Consider the following 22,759-nt stretch of genomic DNA (forward strand, 5'->3'; position numbering starts at 1 on the left):
GGTGCAGCACACCAGCATGGCACATGTATACATATGTCACTAACCTGCACGTTGTGTATTATACCTAAGTATAATTAAGTATTATACCTAAAACTTAAAGTATAATAATAATAAAATAAAAAATAATAAAAAAATTAAAAAATAAAAAATAGAAAAGATAATTATAGATAATTACCTGGATTTTTTTAAATTGCCAATAAATAGCTAAAATGGATTAAGAGAAAAATTCTACATTTGCTATGTAGCTAACCATCACTCAACTCTACATATCCATTAACTTCTACAGAGAAAGTATACAAAAAACCCTCATGAAAGTTATACAGACTTGCCTCCTTTTCTGAGCAAAATGAAAAAATTTGTATGAATCAGTATTTCTTTAGTAATTTTGTTTTATTATTCTTTGTAAAAATTTCAACTCCAGGCTTTCTTGATGGAGTGTGCAGTTGGGGGGTTGTGAGAGGCTCGCCTGAAGTGGTGACAGAAGCAAATTTTATTCCTTTCTAGAAACAGGGACATTTAGAATCAGTCTTGGTTTCTTTGTTCTCTGCTGAATACAAACAAAAAATTAAGTTCCATAAATTTCAATTCTCTTTTGAAGCTTTATCTTCTACATCGAAGGAACTAAACTTTAAAAAGTATATTTTCACAGCATATTTTCTTCTGAAGGGGTGTTGAATCTTTTAATTTGGATGATAACTGCAAAATTTGATTTGCACTCATGAATATTTATGTACTCAGGAAGTGTCTGCAAAAAAAAAAAAACAATATTTCAAAGCAACTAAACTCAAAATAACACTTTTTCTCATATGCAAGGTTGGCATGAACAATGGGTCAGGCTGTCTCTTCTTTTACTGTGCCAATCTTAGATCTCAATAGGGAGATCAATCCTAGTGAACCTGATTCTGGGCAGTCTTCAGATACCTACAGCATCTTCTTTCCCAGATTTGAGCACTTATAGTCTACCAGGAGCCACACTTAGTGATTTAAAGTCATCTGTTTTAATTCTCACAGCAGCCGTATGATTTCAGTATTTTATCTCTATTTTTCAGATTTAAAAAAATGAGGATCATAGATTTGAGCTAGATTTGGAAAGCTAGTATCTTAAAATGGAAAGACCCCAATTTTCATTTTATCTTGCTGCTGCTCTTTTTCTATATTAATTTAGTCCTAGATAATTTTTTAGATCTTAGGTAATGCAATGCCACCATGTGATCAGCCCCATGCCTCCTGTACCTTGGTTGACTTAGGTACCTACTTCTCCTCTGCCTTGATACCCAATCTTTCTTTAATTTTTATAGATATTGAATTTTTCTTTCATAATAATATCAATACAATATTCTTTGCAGCAAATTGATATTCAGGTATTTATAGTATTCTCTTCACTCTAAACAACATTTTTGTAACTAAAATTCCCTATTCAAGTAATCTTATAGAAAGGTGTTTTCTTTTTGTTTTTTGTTTTTGTTTGTAGGTGAGAAAGACGCTAAAAAGTGTGATATCTGGGCCAAAGATTATATGTGCTTCAAAATGTATTTTGTAATACCATATTATTTTCTAGCAATATTGTAGCAAATCACATTCTCAGAAAAAACAAAGAAAAAGCCCAATTCTGCATGTTATTGTCAGAACTAGATAACTTCGATTTTCAACAATTTTAAATTTGATCGGTAAGACCTTTTTTTTAACTTTCGTGTCCAAGTGCCCCATAATTAAGCAAAAGTTCTTTTCATATGATTATTGACCAATTGTATTTCCTCTTCATGAATTTATATTCTTTGAAATTATTTCCACATTTTTAAAATTTATTGGAACCCCTCAAATACTAAGGACATATTAAGTGTTCATTTATCATATCTTGTATATCTACATTTTCTCAATCTGCTGTTTGTCTTTTTATTTTGTTTGGGTATATTTGCCATGCAGACATTTTACTAATTTGTATATAATCAAATCTGTTAGATTTTATATGGCTTCTTGTCCTGCTTGAAACTATCTCTCCCACCAGAGGGCATTCTGATATTCTGCATTTTTCTCATATTCTTATTATTTAATGTTTTTCCTTTCAGATCTATTCACTAAATGCCTCATTTTGCAGAAAGCAACTTATAGCCGTCTGTAATCAATCCTATCTGTGTTATTTGAACCGTTTCTTATAGCTGGTTTTGGATACAGTTCTCCTGGGAAGGGTGTCCAGAGATCTTGATTTTCTGCCATAATGTAATTTTTAGTTCTTTTCTTCTACAAGAATGATGAATAAGAGAGTGAACCACTAATTCAATTTGTACAACTGTCAAGCCATTTTTCTAGTAGCCATAATAAAATTGCATTTAGAGTAAACATAATGCCAATAAACTTCTTTTTCTTCTATCTTCATATTGCTTTGGGGACAGTTTGCTTCAAGGATTTCCGCCACACATAAACTTCATGTATATGAGTATTTATCACACTACTACTGAAAAAGTATCTTTATCTCCAAATAAAAAACATTTTAATGATCATTTTCAGCTATTTAATGCCACCTCCATCCAAACACTTCAATGTTGAGGGTTGGTGGTGTGAATTTCAGTTCTCTTCTCTCTTCCTTTCCAACCTGCAAAACATCCTCGTCCTTGAGATGCTATGGGAATGCTCACAAATCTTTTCTCACTAGTAACTTTCATAGACAAGCATACAGATTGCTAAGGTTTGAATGTGTCCCCCGAAGTTCATGTATTGAAAACATAATCCCCAGTGCAACAGTGTTGGGCGGCAGGTCCTATTAAGAAGTAATTAGATCATGAGACCTCTGCTGTCATGAATGGTTTAACGTCATCATCACAGGGGTAGGTTAGTTATTGTGAGAGTGGGCTTTTTATAAAACTGAGCTTGGCCCCCTCGTGGTCTCTGCCCTCTCTCACATGCTCTCTCACCACGTGATATCCTCCACCATGTTATGATGCAGCAAGAGAGCCCTCACCAGATGTGACCCTGCCATCTTGAACATTCCACCCTCCAGAACAGTGAGACAAATACACTTCTACTGTTAATCAATTACCCAATTTGTTATTCTGTTCCAGCTACACAAAAAGGACTAAGACACACATCTGCTTCTACCTCCCCCATGTCCCATGATCCTGAATACCTTGTTAGTGATCAATGCTGATCCTACTTTTTCCTTGTCCATCTTTTAGGTCAAGTCTTATTAATAATCCTGAATTGTTCAAAATTGGTTTGAGAACTCACTAGAACAGAGCTATTCCATTCCTTCCTGGAAATATGACAACCGCATTTTTATTGATCTTTGTTACTCCCTATCAACTGCAGCTACTTTTTTTCCTACAAATATGTAGTGACGTCTTTTTGAAGTATATCTAGCTCCAAGGTTAAAGAACACAGATAAACTTAACAATGTGATATATCATGTGAGGCTGTTAAATATATAATGAAATAGGTGCTTTAAGTGAGCAATGCCATTAACTGAAAGAGATTTAACAGATAACCCTAGGACAAATAAGCATTCTTAATTTTATACAATTTGTGCATAACCAGATGGAAGAATATTTTCTCTTTCTTTGGCATCCCAGATAAAGGGGCAGAGAAGAAATGCATTAGATTAGATTACCAAGGGAGGTGGCTAGATTTTTAGTTCCAGGAAATAATGCATTATTAAAAGAATAATGTCTCATATTCTATTTTAGCATATTTGTTCTGCTAAGACATAAACTCCATCAACTCCCAAAGCAGAAACTCGTAGCATTTATTGAGAACTTACTGCATGCCCAGCACTATTTTAATGTATTCCTGTGTAACACCTCTATTAATTATCACAATAGTTTCAAAAGGTAGGTGTTACTATCATCTTATACTTACAAATGTGGAAAATTAAAATAAAATTTGAGTGATTTACTGAATGTCTCAAAGTAGTAAATATGGTGGTAATATTTGAAGTAAAGCCATTTGACCTTGGACCCATTGAGCGTAAGGACTGAGTTCTACAGCTTAGTCAATGTGTGGCAGGACACCTTGTGTTCACAAGGTAATTTCTTCATTGCCACTTCTCTAGTCCAAGACAACATCCTTTCTTATATGAATAGGATGGCTGTATATACTTTTGTATTGGTTTCCCTATTTCCATACTTACATTTCTTTTTTTCCATTTAGTAATAGAGCTACAAGTTTTAGCTGGTTATGTGGCCATACAGTTAATTCTAGACAGTGAAGTGTGAGCAGAAGTAGTGTGTGTAATGTTCACTAAAAAGAGAAATTGCTTACTTTCCACTTTCTTTTCATTCTCTGTAAGCTGGAATGTGGACATAATGCTGGTAAATCAGCTGCAATGGGGGAAATGGAGCTGTCACAAAATAATGGAGATAACAGAGAACAGAGAATGACATTACCATGAAAGCAACAATAGAGAAGAATCTGGGTCCTGGGGTGATCCTGTGGAGGACAGATGCCTATGTACTGCTGACCACCTGCCTCTCTGTCTACCTGAGAGAGACACTTTCATCTTAAACACACTCGACTGATTTTGGTGGCTATTATGGAGGTTACTCTTTGCCCCTCAGGATACATTCTTCTGCAATGCATTTACTACAAACTCACCTAAGTTACTTAAAATATCACTCAGAGCACCTCACTGCTTTGTTTAAAAATCTTCCTATAGTTGTAATGTGTTTTATTCGAAAGAAAACCTACACTTTTTTTTTTGCTACAGTTTGCTTTATAAGACCTTTTAAAATCTGCAAATACCTTCCTTCTCAGCCATTATCTTACTACTCTCAACTCCAGCCACACTGGCCTTTTTGCTGTTCCTTGAACAGCTTGTCCCTGCTTTTGGTCTTTGGTACTTAAATGTTTCCTCTGGCTAAAGACTTGTTATCCCCAATGTTCTTTGCAGAGGCAAATCATTTTCTTCATTTAGATCTTCTAAGAGAGGGCCTCCATTGAGTTACTGTCACTCTCAATCATTCTCTTTTATATTACTGAGATTTATTTTTTTAAAACTTTTTAATTTTTGAAATAATTGTGTTTATTCATTTGAACCTTGCCTTCCTCTTTCTTCCAGGAGGTGAGCTAACTGAGGGCAGGAACCTCTGCCTTCCTGTTCAGTTCTTTCTGTATACTACTATCTAGAAGAGTGTCTGTCTCCTAATAAGATTCAATACATATTTGTTGAATATCTAATGTGAAGTGATTCAGTAGATGAAGGAACTGAAAAGTGACTGAGAATACCCCATTATTCTTCATTGTATGACATATATCAACTTTCTTTGATTTTTAATAGTGTACTAGGATCATTAGAGTTTGTAAAAGGAAAGAAAGAAGATACAGAGCCAGTATACATACATACATACATATATATATATACACACATAACCACGTTGAACCTAGCTGACAAATGACTTTCAAATCTATATTTGATACTTGACTTTTATATTCAATGGATTCAATGGAACATAAATTTCTGAGGAAATTAAATGTTCTGGATGTAATCAGAAACTTAGGTTCTTATAGTTTAGGGAGATAGAGAGTGGCTTGATCACTTGAGATAGATACAAGAGTAAAAAGGCCATATAAGCAAATGTAGGTCGTGGGATTTTGGATCATTTAAAATTTTTTAGCTTGATGTTTCAGAGAAATATTTATAACTAACATCTATATTATTCAGTCTTTATTTTCAAGAATTAACTTCTTACCATAAATACTCAGATGGGAATAGCAATCTAGATTTAATTGTAGTGCTTTAGGAGGGTGACAACTCCTTGGCTGAAATTCATAAAAATAAACTGAAACAAGAACAAACAAAAACAAAACAATGAAGCAAAGTTTCTAAAAACTCCCCAGCTTATTTGGTAGTTAAAGAGCAGAAATAACATGTACATTCCCATTATACTCCTCATAATAGCATAGTGTGAGGAAAATATTTGTTAATAACATATAAGTTCCCCTTATATTCCTCATAATAGCATAGTGTGAGGAAAATATTTGTTACGTTGGCAAGAGAAGGGTCAGTAGGCTTACTAGGACAGATTATTTGGACAAGATAAGTTTCTTTTTGTTTTTACTTTTTTATCTTGAGAGATGGTAGAGATTTTATACTCTCATTGAAGCTATGAAGTAATGATGACTAATGTTTCTTAATTTACATAGCTAATTTCATTTACCTTTGATGTTTCTATCACATTTTCAAACATTATAATTTTTTTCCTCTCTAATGCCACACTTCTGTCCCTGATAGCACTTAGCACAGAGTTTTGCATACAGTAAGTGCTAAAACATTTTTTGAATAAATTGTCATCAGGAAACATATCTTACATATAAATTATATTTTCCCATGATCCGCATATAAAAAATAAAACCTCTTGTCTGAGAGAATTTAAAACCTATGCCTCTCCAACTCTTCAGTCTCCAAATCAAAACAACCTATAATGTTAAATTTGTGGAACCAAGAGGTATGAATGTGTGTTTAATAAGTTAACTTCATATGACTTTATGCTGGTGAATTATATTAAAGAGAGCCAGAAAAGCAACCAAGCTTGAAGTAAATATTATAAATTCATAAATCCAATATTTCAAATGTTTAATTAGCTATCACAGCATGATCCCTTCCAGGTATAGTATTGTTTAATTTCCTGGCAATATACAGCTTTCTTCTTCTCTTTGGCATTAAGGTTTTTATTGAACAATTTGATGCATTTTACTGCAGGAAACCAAAGAAAGGGTCAAGAGAAACCTTTGAATGTCTTCCTTAAGATTTTAGCAGAAAAATGACAAAATTCACATTTAATTTGTCTTTGAGACAGGAAGTTTCTGCATGGAAGAGACTACTCTGTTGTTTTAGTTTAATGGTAATATATTTGAGAGAGGACTTTGTGGTACATTAGTGCTACTTGGGGACAGCTAGGTGTATGAACTACAGTGCATTTTCTTAAGCTGTATGTCCATTGGATTCATATACCAAATATTCTCATTAGGCCAGGGATGGAAAATAAACCTCAAAAACCTGTCAAAAACTGTACGAAAAGTGAGCCTGAGAGACTTCATTCCTACAAGGTTGGGGTTGTGGAAATCACTGGCAGTTTGGAATTACTGCATTGTTTGGGAACTTAGGGTGTGAATACTAGCTGCTCTCATTAGGCACAAAAAGAGAAAAGAGAGCTGCTAGCATCTGCCAGGATGGGATGTTAGTGCTTTTCCAGAAGCTAAAGGAAGAAGTGACACCAGTTCTATTCCAAATGTAAAATGTCCTTATTTCTTCACACAAACATCAATAAACAACAATAAAAGATATAACTGGAAATGCAGAAAACAAACAAAGAGATAAACTAACTGCCTGGGTGTGGTTTTCCCTACACATTTGTTATGGGTTGAACCGTGTCTCTCCAAAAAGATATGTTGAAGTTGTAATACCAAGTGTCTGTAAATGTGACTTTATTTGTAAACAGGGTCTTTTCAGATTTAATCAAGTTAAGATGAGTACTCAATCCAATAAGTCTGGTGCCCTTATAGAAAGAGGAAAATTTGAACACAGACACACAAGTAGAAAATTATGTGAGACAGGCAGAGATTGGAGTAATGCATCTATAAACTAAGGAATGCCAAGGTGATGGGAACCATCAGAAAGTGGAAGAAGCAAAGAACGATCCTCTACCAGAGGCTTTGGAAGCAGCAGGCCCTGACACTTTCATTTTGCCCTTCTGGCCTCCAGAACTGTGAGAGAATAAATTTCTGGGTTTCTGTAAGCCTCCCAACTTGTAATACTTTGTTATGCCAGCCCTACAAAGCTAATGAAAGACTATTCTTACTTAGAATGTTATGCTAATATCCATTTATAATTACCCAAGTAATCCCCATTTCAGTTATATACAGAGAGAAATTACATACTTATTTAAAAGCTTAGTCAGTGTTTCTGTTATTGTTGCTTTTTTAGTTTTTTCCATTAATTGTCCTAACCTTATGTATTTATTTATTTTTATATTGTACTACTTTATAGGTAGAGTCTTTAGATGGAGTTACATCTACATTAATATTTACGTTATAATAAAATAATATGGCAATGAATAGATCTTTAGATTGCACATAGAAACCATACATTAGCATATTATAAATGTTTTAAATGTTTGTTTATAATGGCTGCTGGATAAAAGGGTGTATTCCTGACTTATGATCACCAATTAAAAGTCTGTATTCTAATATTACATTCAGAATTATTTTTGGCTAACTCATAAAACTTAGATCTTCTCTGTCTTCATTAAAGTGCAACTGTTTAAGCTTTCTATAATTAAAGGCAATCTTCTTCCTTACATAACCGAAGGTCAATCCCTGGCATGTAGTACTCAAATACATTGTTAGAAAAGTAAAAAGATAAAAAAAAATTCATTTTACCTCCCATAATGCTACCTCACCATTATTTTTTCTCTCCCTATTTCTCCTACTTTGACAATGGAACCCTATTTTCTTCCTGAAATACTAAATCACAAAAGTTGTTTCGCATTCTACTTAATAATTTTATGGTAGTCAGATGAATTCCCTATAATTACATGAGATATATTCGAATGGTATTTATTTCTTAAATCACTCACCTACAAGTATCTATTATACACCATTATATGTCAAATATGATAACAATTGGTAGAGATGAAAAGATAAATAAAACATAGCTTCCCTCTTCTAAAAACTCAGTCCTCTGAAGGAAGTAGGTATGAAAATAAATAAATTATAATTCCATATGATATATGGCACTACAAGGGAAAAAACTGTTGCATCATTAAGAATGGAATAAATATTTCTGCCTGAGACGCACTTTGGAGGATACACTGATGTAGTAACATGTAACTTGTTTTAGCAGAAATTCCCTGGATGTTCATCAACTGCCCTGTGATTTTTCCCTTCCTGGAGCTTTGAAACTAGAAAGGCCATGTGACTATTTCTCACCAATGAAAACAGAAATGGCACATGGCATTTCCAGAAGTGGCCCTTAAAATTGCTCATAAGACATTTCTTCTCTCAACACTTGATTAAATGTAGAGAATCCAATGGAGGACTCTGAGACCATAGAAAATCAGTGTTGAAATAAAAGTTGTCTGGGTTCCTGCATTACTCTGGAAGGCAACCTGCCAAATACCCAATAGTGTGACATACAACTTATTTTATTATGTTTAGCCACTGAGATTTTGAAGCTGTTTGTTACAGCATTTATTCTATACTGACTAATGCACCACCCTTGCTATATACAGTTAATATATTGAAAGTTGAAGACTTAATGAAAGCTTTCCAGACAAAGGGCTGACATGCACTTTAGGAATAAGGAACGGCATGTATAAAGAAGTTAAATCTGTTCATTCTGAAAAGTAGTGGAATATCCTGAGAACCATCTCCATCAGTGAAGAGTGTTATGTTATCCTGCAAAAATGAAGAGTGGACTTTCAAAGGAGTATCAGGAAATAGGACAGCAAGTTGAATGGCTTTGGAGAGATTTATGAATCGAAGAAGGGAAAAGGAAACCAAGAGCAGAAAATATTTTTAAAGCAAAAGAATGTAAATGGCATAATCAGATCTAGTTTCCTTCCACCTTCATTATTACCCTCCCTTTTCTCTTTTTATTTTTTATTTTATAGATAGGGGTAATTCTTAATAGTGTAGTTAAGGGTGAGGCTGTAAGAAAGATTTGGTGGTTGGGAAGTCAGTTGGAATGTCACTGAAGCAGTTCAGAAGTGATATTATTAGGACCAGGGTTTGGTAAGGAATTCAGCTTTGATAAAATCAATTTTTCTATTTTAAAAGTAGTAGTAGTATAATTTATTCAGGGCTTTGTGCAGCCCAAAACTTTTTTACTTCTTGATTCTTAATGGACTCTTTAAAAGTGCTTTTTTTTCTAACTCAGGGAACATATACTCTTCACTAAGTGCTGTATTAAACCATTAGTGACTTCATTGTTCTTTAAACTGTATCATACCTTTTCATCTGAAAATAAAACCAGTATGTACATCTACTTTTAATATGCTGATTACCCTGACTAAAGGTCCTATGCACAACTAAGAAAGAGTAAAAAGTTTCAGGGTTTCAAGAATCAGATATCCTGTCTGACTCTGAGAAATTGTAATTTTATATTAGAAGATCTCAGGCAGGAGAACAAATAAGACAGTGCTTATGTAGATTGGGAGACATAAAAAATAAATAAATGCAATTTATGTGCTCTCGTTAAGCATCAGAGACCTCTGATTTAAAATTCATATCCTCGGTAAAAAATGATTCCTGTTCCACTGTGGCAGGATTTCTCCGGAAGAAATTGTAGAGCAGGTAATTTGAAACAGAAAGCATGGCCTTAAATTCTTTGAAATAGAAAATATGCATCTAACACTTATAATATGCCTTCCTCTGTTCCGGACATGCTGAAGATATACAAGTTTATTTAATCCCAATAATAACCCAGTGAAGACCATGTAATTTTCCCATTTAATAGATGAGTAAACTGAGCAAAGAATGAGTTAATCACTTGCCCAAGGTCACATAGCTAGTGTTTTAGTCAGTGATCTCCAGAGAAAAAGCACTAAAAGGATGTGTGAAGATATACAGATACTTATTTTAGGGAATTGGCCCACACAATTAGTGGCAAGACCAAAATCTATCTGAAAGACTGGAGACCCAGGGAAGTGTTGATGTTACAACTGGAATCCTAAGGCAGTCTGTTGGCAGAATTTGCTCATTCTTGGGAGGCCTCAGTCATTATCTCTTAAGGCTTTCAACTGAATGGATGAAGCTCACTCACATTATAGAGAGTAATCTGCTCTATTCAAAATCTACAGATCTAACTGTTAGTATAATCTAAAAGAAATCTTCACAGTGACATCTAGATTGGTGTTTGATCAAATCTGGTGTTTGAGTACTGTGGTCAAGCCAATTAAATTGACACAGAGATTAACCATCACTGCTCGTAAGTTTTAGGGTCAAGATATAAATACAAATGGTAGAAGACTGGTGGGAAAACTGTAACAAGAAAAACTCTTTAGCCCAAAGGAAAATTTGTGAAATGTTTCAGTGTGGATTTTATTTTCTTTCCATAATCCATTCTTCTAGAAGTCTCTTATTTTTACCTTCGTTTCTTCAGCTAGTTCTACCAAAGTGTGCCTTGACAATAGATGAAGACCCATCATTTCAAAATTATAAAAAATGATTGATATTGTTATATGTTTGTCCAAACTAATACAAAGTGCAAAACTAAGAGGGGACCCTCACTTTTTGCACCATGAAACTTCCAACAAATCAATCTACATAAATCCAATCCTAGAGAAAGTACTTTGGGACTCAGATTGTAAGAAATGTTTTTGGGTCCTGTCAGTTCTCACTCAGACTGTTTTTGATTTTTGCTTTTATTGATTTGCTTGTTTTTCTGCAGGTAGTAACATTATAATACTGTTTAAATTGCCAGAGTATCAGTAGGAGTTAAAATCATATTCTGAACACAAATTGAGCTTATATTGCACAGCAGCACTGCTGTGATGAAAGTAAAGATAATTGTTACCTGATGCACTAGCCATGAAGAATAATTAAATAAATTTCCCTATTGCCCAGCCTATTAATATTGAAGAACTCATATGTGAACAGATGGATCAAATTTGGCAGTATTTTTCACAATCTTTAAAAAATATACCCCAACAGAATTTATACAATACTTGCATATTCTGTTTCAGCCAGGCTTGTTTCAGCTAATCAAGCTTTCCAAAAATCGAAAAGAATTACTCAGAACTTGAAGTAAACAGAATATTTTTTTCATAGTACAAATGGCATGGAAGCTGGTGATCATGTGGACTGTATAAATGTTTCAGACTGTCACATCATGCTTCGAACTCTGGCAGGAGAACAGTTAAAGAATAATTGCTCTTGGTTCTGAAGTTCAAGCAAAATAATAATAATAGTTTCAATTGAATGACATTTCCATCGTATTATGCATTATGAGTGCAGATACACAATTGTCCTAGTCATTCAAACTTGAAATTTATTGCTACTGGTAACAACAGACATATGTCTACTAAGTAAGGATGCACAAAAATATTACAGGGATCAAAAAAGGAATCTTGAATCTGTTATGGGGACTCCCTTAAATTGTCCTCTAGGAGAACTCTACAAATAATTATTGTTTATTAAGTGTAGGTACAATATGTCATGCACTACACAAGACAATTTAAATATATTATCCCACTTAATCCCTAGGAAAACACTGAAATGTTGACATTTCTATTCTCATGTCACAGATTGATACTGAAGCTTACAAATATTAAGTAACTTATTATTATCAAATAGTATTCAGTACAGCCAGAATTTGAGTTCATTTTGTTTAACTCAAAGTCAAAACACTTATTCACCATGCCATACAGTTTTTCTGTATATGGGCTGGGATTAAAAACTAGAGATAGAAGATGAATACAAACAAATTGTTTGCTTGCTTGCTTGCTTGCTTGGTTTTTGTTATTGCTATTGTCATTTTTAGACAAGGTCTCACTCTGCCACCCTGGCTGGAGTGTAGCAGTGAGATCATGGTTTATTACAGCCAAGAGCTAATGTTTATAGTGTCTGATGCTTCCTTCTAGGAACTGTGGTAGTTGCTTTCTGGATATGCTGTGTTATTTAATACATATTACAACCCTACGAAGTAGGTAATGTGATCTCCATTCTGACAGCAAGAAATCTTAAATGTCCAAAAGGCTAATATTATTAGATAATACAGTTAAAAAGTGATAAAGCCAAGCTCCAAAACCAATTTAGTTATCCTCTTAATATTGCAGTCTCATAATGGTCCAATCAGTCATCCAAAACTGAGTACAAAACTGGGGAGGTGCTTTTTGCTTCTCCCTCCTTCCTACTACCCACTACCAAATAAACACAAAATGCTGCCAACTTTAAGTTCTAAATAATTACAGATTCCACCTTCTCTTCCCCAAATCTTCAACCATTATTTTGTTTCAGGCCATTCTTATCTTTGCCTAGAAAAGTCCCATCTGTCAAGAGTATGACTGACATTTGTTGAACTTTTTATGAATAGGAGAGATTGCAGAAATTTATCTTGTCTCAGGAACAAGCCAGGGAAGAGGGTGCAGGAGTGCTGCCCTCCTTTTCTTGCTGACAAAGGCCTGTAGCCTCTTTTCATGGAGAGATTATAGGGCTGAAATTATTTCTGGAGAAAGTCGAGGAAGAAGGTACTGGGAATGCCATTCCTCCCATTTAGGCCAGAGGAGATTTGTTCTGCATTTGATAAGTAGAGGCCAGAACCACTGGGAACTGCTGGAAAAGCATGCAGCCAAACCCCTTTCCAGGGGAAGTTGGAAGCTGGGCTGATCCCTAGGGCTACAGCTGCTGGAAGTGCTTGTGCAGCTCAAAATCCCCTTTGTTCTTTGTGCTTGAGGGAAATCTTTCTCTGCCCTGTCCCTGCCATTCTTCTACCACAGTGAATTAACAGCCAAATCCTCTGGCAGGGACTACAAAAGTTGGGCACTACATGTATGATATAAGCCCTTCAGACCGCTTGGGAAGAGCCTAGGAGTTGTGATTTTTTTTCCTGAGTGTAAGGCATTCTGCTCAGGGCGGGGCTAGTGCATGAGTGGATCTCCACTTTACCACCCATTTCGATGTGGGTATCTTATTAGTTATCCAGTGTATTTGAGTCTTTCAACTGGATTCTGGCTTTCTCTGGACAGAATTGATCCATGTGTAGGTGTTTATTAGGTGTGTCTGTAGGACGAAGAATAGTTAGGAGTCTCCCATTCCATTATATTGCTGATGTCACTCTCCTTTTGCATTTTTATGCATCTGTTAATTTACCAATATTTATTGGTTACATATTGCAGTGAATGGCCGAATATTAAAATTTAAATATCATAGTCTAAAATTTTAAAAATTCTTACTCTCTAGTAACATAAGTACATATAACTTCATGTTTAAAAAGAAAAAGAAATGAAAGAAAGTCATACATTTCAGAAGAAAGTCTCATACTAAATTCTATTGTTTTGAAAGAGAGAAGCACTTATGGATGGAAAATCAGGTAAGGTGTCATGGAACATTTATACTGGACCTTTCTTAAAAGAGTGGTCAGGATTTGAAAACATAGAACTTGAAAAGTTGGAATGACTCTGTCCTCCTAAGAATGCTTTTAAAAAACAAAGAATTGATTTTCTTTACCATGGAAAAGGAACGCAGACACTGTATTAATTAATACATCAAGTGATTATAATTGTTGATTAAAAAAAGCCAAACTCTAAAATATTTAAACAGATTTATTTTAATTCAAATGTGAGAACCATGACCCATGAAACAGACTTAGGAGGTCCTGAGAACATGTGCCCCTGGTGGTTGGGTTACAGCTTAGTTTTATATGTTCTGGGGAGATATAAGACGCAGTCAATACATGTGAGGTATGCATTGGTTTGGTTCAGAAAGGCAGGACAACCCAAAGCAGGGCTGACAGGTCATAGGCAGATCCAAAGATTTTCTGACTGGCAATTGGTTGAAAGATTTAAATTATTATCTAAAGACTTGGATTCAATAGAAAGGAATATCTGGGTAAAGATAAAGAGTTCTGGAGCCCAAGGTTCTTATTATGTAGATGAAGTCTCATAGGTGGCTACCCTTAGAGGCAATAGCTGGCAAATTCAGACCTTTAAAAGGTGCTAGACTCTCAGATCATCTCTTCAAGATTAGAAAAAGACCTGGAAAGGAAAGGGAAATATCTGCAGAACATAAATTTCCCCTAAAAGAGACAGCTTTGCAAGGCCATTTCAAAATATGTCAAAGAAACGTATTTTCAGATAAAATACTTTTATTTTCTTTTAGGGCCTGGTATGTGTCATGTGATGCTATACTAGAGTCAAGTTGAAATTTGGCATCGTATTGCTAAGTCTGTTTTGTCAATCTTAACAATTTCTGTTTTAATGTCAGTGTTGGTCAGTTGTGCCCGAACTCCGAAGAGAGGAGAGTATAATGAGGCTTGTACAACCCAAGTGTCCCATCATGGCCTGAACTAGTTTTTCAGGTTTCTTTGGAATCACTTTGGCCAAGAGGGGGATCCAGTCAGTGAGTTGAAGGACTTAAAATTTAATTTTTGGTTAACATATTTTTGTCAATTATTTATTGATAGAAATTAATTCACAATTTAATAATTATTAAAATGTTCGGCTTTCCTTTTAGTTGTTCTACTACATGAGGGCAAGGACTGTATCATGTAGCAGATCATTAAAGAAAAACCAAAAAAAGGTGTTTGATGAGTAAATGAGTAAAAGGACAAACAAAATCTTCCACTTTTTCTTCCCTTGAGTGTTGGGAAGTTGATTTAGCATTTAAAAGATTTCAGGAATATGGAAAGAAAGGTATTCATTGGTATCTCAAAGGCATTAGGATAACTATATATGAATAAAACTATTTTAGAGCTTTGAGTATCTTTGTAAGGAAGGTGCATTTTTTATTCTCATGAGGATACATGTTCATAGAAATTGATTTTATTTCTTGAACATAAGCCCAAAAAAACACACAAATAAGCAAGCAAGAACAATAAAATAAAGTTTATCACCAAGAGGTTAAGAACTTCACAGAAAATTAGTTAGACGAAATAGACAATAATTACTGTGTATATGTCCCTTTAAATGAACTCCCCCTTTCATGCCATGTCACATAAGTTGTCTGGAATATCAAGGGGCAAAAAAAAGTCAGGAATGTAAATTACTTGGTGATCATATCTAGTGACCAACTTTAGAATTTAGGAGTAGACATGTTCCATTTAATTTGGCTAGATGAATAAAAAGTTTATCAGCCCATTTGGCTGAGATTCCCTTGAAAAATATGCAACAATATCAAATATATCAGATTTGCTTGTAATATTCGTTATAGATGCATTCTGTGGATAGAATCAAAAGGTACTCTACAAGCTAACCCTTCCAACAGGTTACCTAACTCATATTTGTAAGGAAAACCACAAGTGACACACTAAAACTGGTAAGAAGTTTCTTAAGAGATATTTTAAAATGTTAAATTTCACCTGGAAAAATGAAATGGTAAATTCTTAATAAATGTTTCAGACTCTGAAGTTAGACTAGTTCAGTAGTCTACTATTCTTATGCATGAGATTGAAATACCATACATTTATATTTTACACACAGGAATAAATTCAATTAGACATTAGCAATGATCTAATCAGCTAAATGATTACTAGTTTCCATTACACATACTTCCATGGTCTTATTTGGAAAGTGGCTATTTTATTTTAAAAAAATGCTCAAAGAAAATATTTAAGTCTAAATGACTAACTTGGATTCAGATTTTACAATCTAGTATAGATTGTCTTTATCTCATTTCAACATAGTCATAAAGTATAGTGTTTAAAAATTTTTTAATAAAGAAGGGGGACCTCAAAACCAATTAGTCTAGGGTTCACAGAAGTCATAATATGGCCCTAGGCTAAACATGCTCTTGTAGCCAGAAAGCCTTCAGGCAGAAAGTCAGGCATACAAAAAGTAGGACATTACAATATCTGCTACAGGGTATTTTCAAGTGTTAAAATATTTGCTTTTTGTGAAACACTCACTGTGTGCCATTTACTCCCCATCCTGTCATGTAATTATCCCCTAATATATGCACATACACTCTCACAAATGCTTCTGATAAATTAGATTTATTTTTTCTTACTGACCCATTTAAAAGTAACTGCATCTGGGAAACATTCTCTGATCCCATGTCTGGACTAGATGCAGTGTTTATGTACTTTCAAATCCTTTTATATTTCCCCTGTTACTGTGCTTTTCATTCTGGGATTTTATATTCACCTGCATTCTTCCTCTCTACTAGATTATGCCTCTTGTGGAGGTAGAATCCATTTTTGCACATGCCTGGACCATGTAAGCACAGTGACTAGCACATAGTAGGTAACAAATAAATATTGGATAAGTTAAACTGATTAGTAGTTATGAAATTATTCTTAGTATTTGAAATCAAGTTTTTTAAAAAGAGTATGCTGGTACATGTTATGTAAAGTCTGCTAAGTCTGGACATTGTTTTCCAGAATCATCTTCTCTGTACAATTCTGGGTAAAAGTTAGCTAAAAGAGGAAAGTGCATGAGATTTGGCAGAAGTAAAGCAGAAACCACTACTCTCAGAATGTTGTCACAGTCAGCCAAAGTGACAGACAGATGGAGATGCCCAACTATTTCTCACTCTTCTTTGTTTCACATCCAACTCATCTTCCTGACTGCTGGCCATGCTAAACCAAAAGTGGATTCAAGCCCACTTAAGTTAAGGGCTTGGCTGTGGACCTACAGCAGTGATGACTACACATAAGGAACAGCTTCCTCAGAGTTGGCAGTTTAGTTTCAACAGAACTTGTCAGGGGGTCCCTGTTGATGGTTCCTCTTTAGGGTCCAAATATGCTTGGTTTCTTTGATGTCTCTGAAAGCTCCAACTTGGTTTAGGCATTTTGATTATCAACTCTTTCTCCCATTCCCCATTTCCAGATTTGTAGTGCCCCCATTCTCCCATATTTGTTATATCTAATTCTTATAAAATATCAATTTTTCCTATATGTCTAATTGTATAGTTGTACTATAACTTATTAAACTACTCCCATAATGCCATACATTTAGTTTGTTCTCACCTTTTCAATCTTAACACTGTAAAAAATAGTCTTACATATAAGTAAACTTTCATTAATATATCCTAATACATTGCAGTATTGATCTTGACATTTTTTTCAGGCTGTGGGACTCCTACATGTCATGCGTTCTTTTAGTGAGCAATGTTGAAAGAAAATTGGAAGAACTGTTTATGTTTTAATGTTTCCAATGCTTGTGTAACAGGATGTATTCATCAGAGTTCTCCAAAGAGACAGAACCAATAGGATATAGATTTTGATGAAGATGATGATAGATGATAGATAGACAGATAGGTAGATGACAGATAGATAGATAGATAGATAGATAAGATAGATAGAGTGGGGATTTATTATGGGAATTGGCTCATGCAATTATGAAGGCTGAGAAGTCCTGCAACAGGCTATCTGTGCCAAAGGCCTGACAGCCTGGGGTGAGGGGAGAAGAGAGGGTGTTGTTAAGTCCAGAATCCACAGGCCAGAGAGCCTGGATTACGCTTTCTAAGAACAGGAGAAGCACGTCCCAGCTCCAGAAGAGAAAGGGTACATATTTTTCTATGTCTTTGTTTTATTATTATTTTTTTTAATCCAGGGTCTCAGCCAACTGAATGGCACCCATACACATTGAGGGTGGATTTTCCCCACTTGGTCAATGGACTTGATAATCTAAAAAAGCTGAGTTTGAAAAATCCTGGCCAAAGTAATTTTTTTTAAATAAATTTTCCCTCTGTGTCTCCTCGCTGTCAAGACAAGATGAGTCGTTCGCAGTAGTGTGAGGGGAGGCCTTTCATCCACCTCAAGCCTAGTATGAGAAACTTTAGAGGGCCACATGGAAGATTTGACATGTATTACCTGGAATTTTTTAGGAGAGGTGAGGCGGTGAAAGTGCAGAAATTAATGGTAGTTGGCCTAAATCCAAAATACTAAAGATAAAAATCTGGGTCCGGAATGCCCTGTCTAGTGGTAGAGGGAGAAAAAGGTGGCTACATTGGGAGGAAGCTGTGTATAGTAGACATGAGTATGACCTATGAACCAGATGTGGGACACTTTGTAGAGAGCCAGCCAGGAATTATCTTCACAGGGACTTTGCCCAAGAGAGTCTCTTGGAGGCATTGTAGTACTCCAATATACAGTGGTGTTGAAAAGGTTTTAAAATGCCAGGAACTGAGGGCTCGAATAATAAGAAAACCAGAGAAAATCCAGCTCATCATAGAACTTTTAGTTGGGTGTTCTCAATGAGAAAATCTCTGAGAAACCCACAGAAGCATTCATGTGAGAAAAGCCACATTTACAATTGACTATTTGCAGTATGCACCAATGCCATTCACAAATGTACCAGTAAAATAAGCCCTTTTAAGTCTCATATCATCTCTTCTGCCTTGCTCACAGCTATAACTAGAAGGTTGGAAACAGCAGAGAATGGGCAGAGGTACAAGGGAAATAAATATTAACTTAAAAACATAGAGAAGAGGTTTAGTAGGCCCTTCTTCACCATTGCAAGCTTCTCAGATTCAAGTTGTTCCAAGATAAGTGAGGTAAGAAGACACAACTTTAAAAGATGTTCAGAATTTCTATATTAGACTGTTGGGTATTATAACAGCTAAATTATAACTTTTATTTGGCCAAAGTAATCAAAATAAATTGTAATATATTAGAATGATTGAATAGTTATAGCCTTCTGAAATTTCACCCAAGATGCAAAGAAGAATGAGTCCACAGATTTACATGAAAAACAAAAAAAATGTATCCTATTCAAACCCTATAGAATCCTGTTCTTGCAGCATAATGGTTACATTCATTCTGGTTATAAAAACAACAAAAGCATACATCTCTGCATATACAAAAAGAAAAACTGTCATAAAAGTTTAGAGTTTACCACGGGGTAAAACAAAAAATACAGTTCCATAGATTGACAGTCTAATGAGATCTCAGGTTTAACCCATATAAAGAGGTAAAGTATCTGCCAGGTTATGCTAAGTCAATGAATCAGCTTTGTTATACTTTACTTGTTTGAAATTTTTTTTAAAAACTACCTGTTTTTTTAAAATTTCGTCTATTATTTGCATTCTAACAAAGTTGCAAAATGAGTAGTTTTTAACATTAAATTTTTATTTTATTAAAATGATTTAACAGTAACCAAAACAGCATGGTACTGGTACCAAAACAGAGATATAGACCAATGGAACAGAACAGAGCCCTCAGAAATAATGCTGCACATCTACAACTATCTGATCTTTGACAAACCTGACAAAAACAAGAAATGGGGAAAGGATTCCCTATTTAATAAATGGTGCTGGGAAAACTGGCTAGACATATGTAGAAAGCTGAAACTGGATCCCTTCCTTATACCTTATACAAAAATTAATTCAAGATGGATTAAAGACTTAAATGTTAGACCTAAAACCATAAAAACCCTAGAAGAAAACCTAGGCAATACCATTCAGGACATAGGCTTGGGCAAGGACTTCATGTCTAAAACACCAAAAGCAATGGCAACGAAAGCTAAAATTGACAAATGGGATCTAATTAAACTAAAGAGCTTCTGCACAGCAAAACAAACTACCATCAGAGTGAACAGGCAACTTACAGAATGGGAGAAAATTTTTGCAACCTACTCATCTGACAAAGGGCTAATATCCAGAATCTACAATGAACTCAAACAAATTTACAAGAAAAAAACAAACAACCCCATCAAAAACTGGTAAAAGGATATGAACAGACACTTCTCAAAAGAAGACATTTATGCAGCGAAAAAACACATGAAAAAATGCTCACCATCACTGGCCATCAGAGAAATGCAAATCAAAACCACAATGAGATACCATCTCATACCAGTTAGAATGGCGATCATTAAAAAGTCAGGAAACAACAGGTGCTGGAGAGGATGTGGAGAAATAGGAACACTTTTACACTGTTGGTGGGACTGTAAACTAGTTCAACCATTGTGGAAGTCAGTGTGGCGATTCCTCAGGGATCTAGAACTAGAAATACCATTTGACCCAGCCATCCCATTACTGGGTATATACCCAAAGGATTATAAATCATGCTGCTATAAAGACACATGCACACGTATGTTTATTGCGGCACTATTCACAATAGCAAAGACTTGGAACCAACCTAAATGTCCAACAATGATAGACTGGATTAAGAAAATGTGGCACATATACACCATGGAATACTGTGCAGCCATAAAAAATGATGAGTTCATGTCCTTTGTAGGGACATGGATGAAGCTGGAAAGCATCATTCTCAGCAAACTATCGCAAGGACAAAAAACCAAACACTGCATGTTCTCACTCATAGGTGGGAACTGAACAATGAGAACACATGGACACAGGAAGGGGAACATCACACACCAGGGACTGTTGTGGGGTGGGGGGCGGGGGGAGGGATAGCATTAGGAGATACACCTAATGCTAAATGACGAGCTAATGAGTGCAGCACACCAACATGGCACAGGTATACGTATGTAACAAACCTGCACGTTGTGCACATGTACCCTAAAACTTAAAGTATAAAAATAATAAAATTTAAAAAAAAAGAAAGTAGAAATTCCAAGTAAAAAAATAAATTAAAAAATCATTTTATATATCAAATAAACAAATTTCTTCATTTTTCGTTTTTAAATATATAATATAAATATATTCTTTGATACTCTTTTACATTTATTGACTTTCTTTCCAAAGCCTATCTATCTATGATAATTTGGTCACAAAATTCTTAGCCAAGAAACAAATTTTACTTTCACCTATGCACCAATAGGTAATACAGAATGTGAGATTTGTTGTGAGAGCATAATATAAATATGCAATGATGGTGTAAAGTTGTGACTGAAAATATTATAATCAATACTATTGTGCACTGACAAAGATATTTTGCTTCTGTTTTAGACAAAATTATATTCAATAACCATCAATAAAATATGCCAAAAGGCATACATTTTAAAATGAAATACTTATCTGTTCCTTGACAAAGAAAATTACTTTCCATTACCTATGAGGAAATGCCTATTTTGTGAAGGGCAACATAAAATAAAATAAAAAAATCTATTTACAAATAGAAGATATTATTGGACCCGCAAAGAAGTAGAAAGAGTATTGTTCATAGAAGCCATTAAACTTAAGTTCTAGGCCACTTACTAGTTATTCATCTTAGGCAAGTCATCTAATTTTTCAACACATGATACCTTATCAGAAAACAAAATAAAACAAAAATACTAGTTAATATACACTTAGAGCTGCTATAGTTTTTAAAAAATCCACTCACATAATATCTCATTTCATTCTACTTCTGTTGAAGTACTATTATTTTCTCAATTTTACAGATAAGAAAATTGAAGTGTATACAGTTTTAGTAATTTTTCTAAAGCCCCATAGAAATGTAGGGACAGAATCAGGTTTTCGGACTATTAGGATTATTTATCCCTACTTAACAACCTTCCCTTATGTGTTAGTCTGTTCTCACGCCGTTAGGAAGAACTGCCTGACTCTGGGTAACTTATAAAGAAAAGAGGTTCAGTTGACTCACAGTTTCTCATGTCTGGAGAGGCCTCAGAAAACACAATCATGGCGGAAGGCACTTCTTCACAGGTTAGCAGGCGACAGAACGAGTGCCAGCGGGGGAAAATGGCAGACACTTATAAGACCATCAGATCTCGTGAGAACTCACTCTTTATCAGGAGAACAGCATGGGGGAAACCGCCTCCATGATTCAATTACCTCCCACTGGCTCCCTCCCGCAACACATGGGCATTATGGGAACTACAATTCAGCCAAACCATATCACCTTAGCCCCATGTGAATCCAATAAGTTAAAAGAAAAACTCTTTTGTTATTGTTCCTGCTTTGGTCCCTTGATTAGCATCAGCTGTTCCACATGACGTCAGCTAGTGCTATAAGCATCAGGTGCTCAGGTGCCTGTTAAGTTTGTAATATCAAAGACGGTTCACCTGTGTAACAGAGTTGATGTTGTCTGTTGATTGATCATTTTTCTTGAGCTGTAAGACAGTGATTACACATGGTTTCTCCATATGGTTCAGGCTTTTCAGCATGGTAGTTGTTTGCAAAAGGAAGATTCACAAAAGCAAAAGTTCTAAAAGACCAAGAAAGAAGCTGCAGGACCTTTTTTATGATCTAGATTAGCTGTGAGACAAAG

General features: G+C 35.0%; 1 long non-coding RNA gene across 1 annotated transcript; it reads right to left on the reverse strand.

Annotated features, from left to right (window-relative positions):
• Positions 1-431: 431 nt before the first annotated feature.
• On the reverse strand, positions 432-22,216 carry LOC105378801 (uncharacterized). Its single transcript, XR_947518.3, has 3 exons — positions 22,133-22,216; positions 5,679-5,768; positions 432-745 (listed from the first exon to the last, which is right to left on the reverse strand). It is a non-coding gene; the product is annotated as an uncharacterized LOC105378801 (long non-coding RNA).
• Between the last annotated feature and the right edge of the window lie 543 nt (positions 22,217-22,759).

Source organism: Homo sapiens, chromosome 1 (assembly GCF_000001405.40).
Source record: "Homo sapiens chromosome 1, GRCh38.p14 Primary Assembly".
NCBI classification, from domain to species: domain Eukaryota; kingdom Metazoa; phylum Chordata; class Mammalia; order Primates; family Hominidae; genus Homo; species Homo sapiens.